We start from the raw sequence: 10410 nt of genomic DNA, 5'->3' as shown, positions 1-10410 counted from the left end.
CAGTGGTCATAAAATATGTGGAAAATAGGGAAGACAAATTATAACCCTAATATTAATTTCAGCAATTTTCACTCAAACTGTAAGTTTCAGGGTGTTTTATTGCTAGACTTTTATAACCTTCAAATTCTTGCCATGAACTACAATAAATTTTGAGTAGAAGATCCACTTAGCTGTGAAAAATAGTCATGGCCTTGATGTATTCTGGGTAATTTGGGGCCATAAATCTAGGGGAAACACAAGAAACAACATTGTTTGTGGTAGTTGCTTTCCTGAAAATAAAGAACAAAAATTGGAGTCATGGAAGGGACCTCATCTTCACAGATTTCTTGTTGGGTTACCCATGCAGATAATTTAAATTTGCTAAAGCTCTGTTTGATTACCTATAAAATGGGCATTATAATAACAACTGGAATATAGTAGTTGTTTAATAAATGTGTGTTTGGGCAAATGTTCTGCAAAGAGAACAATTTTTGGAGTACACAGAACTGAGTTCAAATCATAGCTCTGTCACTGACGTGTATGTGTTTGTGTGTGCGTGTGTCTTCTAGTCATGGTCATTATGCTATTTAATACACATAACAAACTGATGAGGCAAGCACTATGATTCTTCCATTTTACAGATAAAAAATACAAGTACAGATGAAGAGATTAAAGAACTTTCCCAAGAGCTAGGAATTTACAAAGCCAATAGTCTATCCCAGAAATTCTGACTCTAAGTCTGTGTTTTAGGATGTATGAGATATAAATGACATCCAGACAAAAAATATTGGCATCAGGAGCAGAAAGAAAAGATGTCAACTAATTAATTTATTCATGCAGAATATTTATTGAGAACCTACTATATGCCCCACACTCTGCTGGTGCTGTGAATATGGTGGTGATTCACAATAGAAACAGACATCGTTCCTGGCCTCATAGAGCTAACAATACACAGAAGGAAGATGAACCATATCGTGCCATAAAGAAATAAATATAGATGGCAAGGCTTTAAAATGAAGATGTGTTTGCATATGTGGTCTTTTTTTCTTTTAGACTGGTCTCAAAAAGCAAAAGGAAAGTGCCAGCTACTGGATAGAGGCTCAATAAGTAAACCTTGAATGAAAATCAAAGACCTAAAGACAGATACCATTTGACTCAGCAACCCATTGCTGGGTATATACCCAAAGGAATAGAAATCACTCTATTATAAATACACATGCATGTATATGTTCATTGCAGTACTATTCACAAGAGCAAAAACATGGAATCAACCTAAATGCCCATCAGTGATAGACTGGATAAAAAAAATGTGGTACATATACACCATGGAACACTATGCAACCATAAAAAAGAACAAGATTGTATCCTTTGTAGGGTCATGGATTGATATGAAGGCCATTTTCCTCAGCAAACTAACACAGAAACAGAAAACCAAATACCGCATGTTCTCACTTATAGGTGGCAGATAAATGATGAGAACACATGGACACATAGAGGGGGACAACACGCTGGGGCCTATTGAAGGATAGAGGGTGGGTGCAGGGTTGGAGGAGAAGGAGAACCAGGATAAATAGCTAATGAGCACTAGGCTTAATACTTGGGTGATGAAATAATCTGTACAACAAACCCCTATGACACAAGTTTATCTACGTAACAAACCTGCACATATACCACTGAACTTAAAAGTTAAAAAAAAAAATCATACAGATGTTAAATCATGTTTAAAAATGCTGTTTTGAGAAAGCAGAAAATATATATTTCAAAATGTTTCAAAATCAATTCGATATAGAATAGATGATATTAGAAGAAAGTTTGTAAACATAAAAAATGCTTAGCTTTAGCTTCTAGTAATGTTAATTTATGTGGATAGTCTTAATTTCTCACAATGTAAGATAATGAAGTATGATGCACGTCGTTCTCCTCTGTCTTAAATATCTCTATGATAAAACATAAAAAATAAATATGGTATTTGGGGCCAAATAATGGAAGAGGTTTCATCAATATAAATGGACAAAGATTCAAAGGTATGAGCCTTGTACTGTGAATAAAGCAAGCATCATAGCCTAATTGTCTTCAGGATAAAGGCCCAGCTGTTTGTTTGTTTTAAAGGATCTCCTCAATCCTTCGTTTGATCACCCCTCTACTCTATACTCCTGGAACTTCTTACATAAATCTTCAATGCTGCAGTCTCTCTTCTCAGTCTGGGCCCCTCTCTCACAATGGTCCATGTGTTTGGCATCGTTACTAACCATGCTTTACTGCCTTACTCATCCATTAAGGCCAAACACAAGCTCTACCTCTTCTTGGCTTACTTCTGTCATGGAACTCAATGACTTCTCCCTTGATGTGTTAGTTTGTTCTGGTTTGTTTTTTTAACATGTTCTGCCCCTGATATCTCATCACATCCCTCTATGTATTTAGGATATACTCCCAATATAGAATGATAAACTTGTAAATGATGGTAATGTCCCTTTGGCTCTATTGTGGAATAAGCCTGTTCCCAACACAGAATCTAAGTTACATGTTAACATGTGTGGCAGAGCACAGCTGAATGTACCAGTCCTGTTTCTTCTTCCTAGCCACATCAAAAAAAGACTATATTCCCCACTTTATCACAAAAAGTTTGGGCGTTGAGATGAAATTGTGGTCAGGGTAAGATAGACAATAACAGCAAAAACTATGCTTTTCCTCCGCTCTTTATTGCAGATGGAAGCAAAGGGTTCCATGACATCAGAACCACATGAAGGAAGGAATCAGAGTCCTTCAGCTGTTGCTCTCCTGGAGGACAGCCACCATGAGAGCCCCAGAACTATATAGAACTGTGACACAGACTGGAAACAAATTTCAATCATGTTGAACCACTAAGATATAAGGACATTGGCTAGTATAAATTATTCAGACTAATTTTAAAAATAAATTAATTAAAAAAAATTCTTGCACAGCTAGGGAAATAATCAATGAAATGAAAAGGCAACCTATGGAATAGAAGAAAACATTTGCAACCCAAATACCTGATAAGGGGTTAATTTCCAAAATATATAAGTAAATCATATAACTCAATAACAAAAACAAAGAAGCAAACACAAAAAACTCAATTAAAAGTTGTGAAAGGACCTCAATAGATATTTTTCCAACGAAAATATACAAATGGCCAGTAGATTCATGAAATGGTGCTCAAAATCACTAACCGTCAGGGAAATACAAACCAAAACCACAAGATATGACCTCACACCTGTTAGAATGGCTATTACCGAAAAGACAAGTGGTAACAAGTGCTGACAAGGATATGGATAAAGGGATTTCTTGTGAGCTGTTGGAGGGAAAGTAAATTGTACTGCCATTATGGAAAACAATAAAGAGGTTTATCAAAAAATTAATCAAGTTAATCAATTCGTTTGTTCCAGTAATCTCACTTCTGGGTATATATTCATAGGAAATGAAATCAACATTTGAAAGAGATATCTGCACTCCCACGTTCATTGCAGCATTATTCACAATAGGCAAGATGTGGAAATAATAGTGTTCATCAACAGATAGATGTATCAATAAGTAAATATGCCACAATTTCTCTCTCTCTCTTTCTCTCTTTCACACACACACACACCACACACACACACACACACACACACACACACACACACATTCATACACGATGGAATATAATTCAACCTTAAAAATGAAGGGGCCAGGCACGGTGGCTCACGCCTGTAACCCCACCACTTTGGGAGGCCGAGGCGGACAGATCACGAGGTCAGGAGATGGAGACCCTCCTGGCTAACATGGTGAAACCCCGTCTCTACTAAAAAATACAAAAAAATTAGACAGGTGTGGTGGCGGGCGCCTGTAGTCCCAGCTACACGGGAGGCTGAGGCAGGAGAATGGCATGAACCCGGGAGGCAGAGCTTGCAGTGAGCTAAGATCCTGCCACTGCACTCCAGCCTGCAGAGCGAGACTCCATTTCAAAAAAAAAAAAAAAAGAAGAAGAAGAAGAAGTAACTTCTGCCTGGGAAATAGCCCCTTCCTTCATCTTCAAAGCTATCAGAATAGCATCTTCAAATCTCTTTTTTCATGTAAGGTAACATATTGAAAGGCCTTGGAAATTTGGAACTGAACATCTTTGGGATACCATTATTCTTTGATCACAAAGAGGATCATTCCATGTCCTTTTTTTTTTTTTAAGATGGAGTTTTGCTCTTGTCGCCCAGGCTGGAGGGCAGTGGCACGATCTCAGCTCACTCAACCTCCGCTTCCTGGAATCAAGCGATTCTCCTGCCTCAGCCTCCCAAGTAGCTGGGATTAGGCACCTGCCACCAGGCCCAGATAACTTTTGTATTTTCAGTAGAGAGGGTTTCACCATGTTGGCCAGGCTGGTCTCGAACTCCTGACCTCAAGTGATCCACACACCTTGGCCTCCCAGATGCTGGGATTACAGGCGCAAGCCACTGCACCCAGCCCATTCCATGTCACTTGACTAAGCCTGACATTCGTAGAATAGGAAAATATAATACCCCCAGCAAAGAGCAGCAACTTCTCTGAATTAATCTATTGCAAATTAATAAAATTTGGTACTCATATTTTGATGCCAGAGAAAACCTCCTAAAATTGGCTATAACAATCCAGTTTAATGCCAGCAGCTCTAACAATAGAAATGCATACCAAGTACAAAGTCAGTAAAAGAAGAAATTGATTGCAGCCTGATAAGGTAGAGGGAGAAATGAAGGTGAAAAAGGGGAGACATAATTAGTAATTTTGTTAATGTAACTAGAATGTTTCTGGCTGCAAGTAACAGAAGGTTCAAACACTGGTGTTTTGAATCATAAAGACAGTTATTATTTACTTAATGAGAAATATGGAAGCAAGCTATCCCAGGGTTCCTTCACAGATCAATGATGCCACAAAGATGCGGACTTTTGGCATCTTTCCCTTCTGTGATGCTTAGCATGTTAGGTTTCTTATTTTCATACTTACTGCCTCAGATACGAGACGGTTATATCATTATATCAGCTCTAGGCATTATATCCTGACATTCACTTCCTCAGCAATAAGAAATGGCAATGTGCAGTCCCAGTTAGTTCCAGAAAGTCAAATATATTTCCCAGAAGCCTCCAGCAGATATCCCCTCACTTTATTTGTCAATTTGTTTACTTATATTTTGGTGAGAACATTGTCTTAGGACTAGACTCCATTAATTGCAATTGGAGCTAGAAATATGGTTGTTGAGTGCAGAGAATCAGGATTGTCATGGATGGCATCGTTGCTCCTGTTATGATTCAGTGCCTGGGCTCATGACAGCCTTGAACAAAACTTGGGTTCTATGGTTGGAAATGATGGTTTTATAGTCAAATAAGACTACTGGCCATACAGCACACTAGTGGCAAAAAATCAGCCCTGAAAGGAATGTCTCCTGATTTCTATCTCCACAAACTTCACTTCTTGTCATGAATTTACTGCTTCTTTGAATTCTGCTGGGCTAAATGTGTGTTCCCACGACTCCTCTGTGAATGCTGTTGCGTGTGTCCTTCCTGGGAGAAAGTGGACATTACAGTTGCCCTGCTCTTACCCTCGAGAGATACAGTCCAAGATCCCCAGTGGATGCCCCAAACCTAGGATAGTATGGAACCTGATGGTCATCAATTGGAGGGCATTTCTGTGCATGTCTTCCACCCACAAATTTAATGCCTTTTTTCATCTTAAGCCCTTATCATGCACTGTGGCCGTGACTTTGTAGTTTCAGGTGCAACAGCAAAACTAGCACAAATTTCTTTTTCCTTCTTCACAATTTTATAGATAGATGATTCCTTCTTACATAGATCTAAGCAACCCCAGCATAGGATTTTTTTCTTTCCATTGAGTTGAGAACTTTTGCCTTTTCTCTTAAAGGGAGCACTTAAGCCTTCTCTTTGGCTTGAGTTGCCAGTATCACTACTCTTTGTGCTTTTAGGGAAGTGTTACGGAAAATAAAGGTGACTTGAACACAGGCACTGTGATGCCAGGACAGTGGTACCATGGAGGGTTGATAACATGGGGGGCTGATAACCTGGAGGGCTATTAAGTGACTCACTCACTGTCAGGTAACATATACAGCATGGATATGCTGGACAAAGGGATGATTCACATCACAGGCAGAACGGAGAGGGACAGTGCAAGATTTCATCACGCTACTCAGAATGGCATGTCATTTAACATTTATGAATTGTTTATTTCTGGCATTTATCATTGGATATTTTCTGACCACAGCTGACCTTGGGTAACTGAAACCACTGCAAGTAAAACCCTGGTTAAGGAGGGACTACCATTTATTGTACTAAGGAGAAAATCTAAGTCATTTTTTTCCATGCAGCAGATTTACAATAATCATCAAACCAGCCTGAAGGCAGTTAAATGCGACCCTATCTTCTATTGACAGAAAGCAATACTAAATGTTTCTGAGTTGTGAACAAGAGTTTTTGAAAATGCAGAGGTTCCTCATCCAGACACAGGCAAGCACTTGTGAAACGTGTCACTGAATGGGGATGCTATTATAGAGGATAAACACCCAATCACACACTCTGCCTTTTTCAATGGATCAGTTTTCTCTTACTTGAATCTAGGTTAGAGCTTTTAAATTCTCCAATCATATGCATTCAAAGTTCAAAGAATAAAAGACTGGTTCAAATTCTAAACATTACAGTCTTTTATTTTCTTCCATAAATAGCATGTTGCCAACTGAAATCAGGCATTAACTAAACTATGACTCAGTAATGCGCAGTATTCAAATACTGTGAGTAAAAGTAGCAATTATTCTACATGAGGTATCCAGTTTATTAAAAGAGACATAAATGAATTCAATTTTTTCTTGTCGGCCATAAATATTTAGCATTTCTGAGCACAACCCATTTAGACTGGTGAGTAGCAGTAATTCAATTTATTTATCAACAATTTGGTTTATTTATCAAAATAAATTAGTCTTTCATCCTTGAGCTATTGGATTATTCACAAAATGCAATCACTTCAAAGTGGCTATGTGAGTTTGGGCAGGTCCCTTTTTCCCGGACAATACATATAAAATGAGGACAGTTAGTGTAGGTGATGTGTAAAGTCCCTGCAAATCCAAATTGGATTAATTCTTCTACGAAAATGCAGAAAGCATTCAGTTGGAGCATTGGGCCCAAGTTCTAATCTAGTTTTTACCAACTTTAATTAAAGAAAGTATCTTTATTCCCTGTGGTTCAGAGTTTTATCACATGTAAATTAGTGACAATATAATTCCTACCGCTTCAAGTGGAAGTAACAATCAAAATAAACATATGAAAAACTATTTGTTAAGTTGATGGGCTAAGGCAGGTCCCCAAATGTCAGTGGGAACTCAACTTCAGCTGGTATCCAGGTTCTTGACACCATTCCAAGAAGGAATTCAAGGACAAGTCATAAAATAGCAAAAGTATGGAGATTTATTGCAAAATGAAAGTACACACTCAAGAAAGGGGAATGTGAGTATACTCAACAGAGTGAGTTGTGCCCCGTGGGGTTTGGGGCATCTATCTCTATGGGTTTATTTAACCAAGGGGAGTCATATTCATGAAGATTTCTTGAAAAAGATAAAGATTTCATGTAACTATGGTGCCACCCATTTTCATACCAAATATCGGTGTTCCTGAAACTGTCATAGCACTAATGGGTGTGTAATTTAGTATGGTAATGGGAGTATAATGAGGTTTTAGGTGAAATCTAGGTCAAATCTAGCTCCATGTTGGGTCTAGCTGGTCTCAGCCAGCTTGGCCCCCATTCTGTTTTTCAGGGTTTTATCATTCTCTAGTGTATGCAACTATTTCAACTGTTACCTTTTTGCTAGTCATGTGAGACTGCGGCCTGGAATTTTCTATTCTCCTGTGACCACCCTGTATTATTCATATATTAAAGTGAAAAGTTATCTATAAATGAAAGGTTATCTATAAAAGTTACCTATAAATGAAAGGTTTTCTGCGTGTCATGTACTACGGCAATTTCTACAAATACAGCAGTGACAATTAGAGACTCCCACAAATAATGCTCATTGTGGGACAGTAGTTAACAGATAATGCGCTAAGAATAAATAAAGTTTGTTAAGCAGTTGTTGTGTATAGGCTGTGTGCTAACCACTTTCTTTTATTTATTCCTTTAAAAGTATTTACTGGGAACATATTCATAGCAGGCACTGCTTTATCACTTATATTATGTTTTCTTCTTGCATAAATCTTCGCAACTAGGTTATGAGACACGTTATATTACAGTGCTCCTTTCAAGGAGAAGGATACCAAACCTCAGAAAATTTTGACAACTTTAACCAATCTCAAAAGCTAACAATTAGTAAAATTGAGTTAGAGTTAGAGTGTTAAGTTTTTCTGAATTTAACATCTGTATTAAATTTTAACCTAGAATTTAACTGACCTGGCAAGGAGGCCATTAGGGAAGCCCTCAAGGGGTTAAGAGTGGAGAGGAAATCTTGTTATAGGAGATCTCCCAGTAGACAAGGGTTTGGGGAGATATTTTTAAGACAAAGAATTCAGGGCAGGTGCAGTGGCTCACGCCTGTAATTCCAGCACATTGGGAAGCCAAGGTGGGCGGATCACCTGAGGTTGGGAGTTCAAGGCCAGCCTGACCAATATTGAGAAACCCAGTCTCTACTAAAAATACAAAATTAGCTGGGCATGGTGGTGCATGCCTGTAATCCCAGCTACTTGGGAGGCTGAGGCAGGAGAATCCCTTGAACCTGGGAGGCGGAGGTGAGCCAAGATCGCACCATTGCACTCCAGCCTGGGTAATAAGAGCGAGACTCTGTCTCAAAAAAAAAAAAAAAAAAAGACAAAGCATTCAGCAAATGTAAAAACATGGAAGCAGGAAACAGCATGACACCTTGGGGAAACTAAATGGCACTAAATAGCAGGGCTATAAGGAGCCTATTGTGCAGTTATTATTATGCAAAACTGACATAATTGGCCAGGTTCAGGGAATTTTCCATCCTAATTACTTTGTTCAGGTAGTTTCACTTCTTCTTCCATCAACTTATTGTTTAAAATGAGATACTAAAGAAAAATCAGTTGGCCATTCTTAGAGCTGGTTGAAGTGATTTTTCAGAGGATCTGGACAGCAGCCTGCATTGGTTTCAGCTCAGAAAATACATACTACCAAAAATAAACGCATCTCTGTCTACAGTTCTGCAGCTGGAGGAAACAAAGCAGATGGCTGTGAAACCAAGAGCAGCCTCCACAGAACACCTTGAAACAGTACAGCCAGCGAGGGTAGGCTCCAAGAGCCCAAAAGGGAAAGTTTGGGTGGTGTGTGTGTGCGTGTGTGTGTGTGTGTGTGCGTGTGTGTGTGCGCGTGCGTGTGCACACACTCGCAGCCTTCAAACTGTCCGCAAAGAAAGCACATCAGAAACCTTATGCTGGAAGGAACACCCACTCCAACTTTCCACATCTTCCGTACATGTTACGGACGGGAATTACGGAGGTCATATGGTGTGAACAGAGTTCTGGAGTCAGGCTCCCCAATTTTTATCCTAATTCTGCCACTTCTTATCTTTATGACCTTGGGCAAAATACTTTATTACTCAGTGCCACAATTTTATCTTCTTCAAAATGAGGGTGATAATAGAACTTATCTCCTAGGATTATTGTAAGAAATAAATGTGATAGTTTGTGTGTCCAGCCCACGGCAAGTGCTCATGAAATGATAGCCTTTTGTTTGTTGTTTCTGGTGTTGTTGTTGTTATTTTTTTATGGAGCACCATGTATTTCTTATTTCTAATCTTATAAACTACTCCATAATGTGCATAGCATTTTTTTCCTCTTTCTTATTAAGGAATGGGAGGTCCAGACAGTTAGAGTGGTTTGTCCAAGCTCATTCAGCAGGTAAAAGAACTGGAATTTGAATCCAAATTTATCAGATGTTAAAATTCACGCTCTTTCTGCAATATACAATTGTGTTGCACAGAATAAAATGTATATCCATTGATAGTAGGACGAGGACTAGAAGCCCAAGCAGATGGCAGTCCTAGGGTATCAACTGTGATATAATGGGGAATATCAAGTGTAGAACAGTCCTGGCTTTGAATACAAGCTCTGTTGCTTACTGTAGGGGCTCAGAAAATCATTTAACTTCACTGAGCCTGCCTCAGTGTTCTCATTTTTAAAAAGGAGTTTTGTAGGAGTTTAAAATGGACTTCATAGAGATTTTGCTAAGATTATCTCAGCACAATTTTTAATACCCCCAGGAATCCATTGACCCCATGACTAAATCAACTCTGTTGTTATAGACATTTATCACAGTAGGCAACTCTCCCTGTAGTGTCTATTACATTGGCAACTTCCATTCCCCCTTTTGGTCATTATTTTATGTTTTTCTACCATGCCTGAGTGTAAACCTCAATAAGAGCTGAGCTCCTCATTTTAGCACCCAGTTCGGGGCCTTCTG

At 38.8% G+C, this 10410-nt stretch overlaps 1 annotated feature.

The window, feature by feature from the left end:
• Positions 8494-9141: an enhancer, noted in NCBI's record as "OCT4-NANOG-H3K27ac-H3K4me1 hESC enhancer chr8:132404673-132405320 (GRCh37/hg19 assembly coordinates)". NCBI's record gives its function as "activates a minimal SCP1, AML or CMV promoter by ChIP-STARR-seq in primed H9 embryonic stem cells {active_cell/tissue: H9 hESC(primed)}" and the evidence as "EXISTENCE:reporter gene assay evidence [ECO:0000049][PMID:30033119]".

The sequence above is a fragment of the Homo sapiens genome, chromosome 8, assembly GCF_000001405.40.
Source record: "Homo sapiens chromosome 8, GRCh38.p14 Primary Assembly".
Lineage (NCBI taxonomy): Eukaryota > Metazoa > Chordata > Mammalia > Primates > Hominidae > Homo > Homo sapiens.
This window is presented reverse-complemented; position numbering and strand designations above follow the sequence as displayed.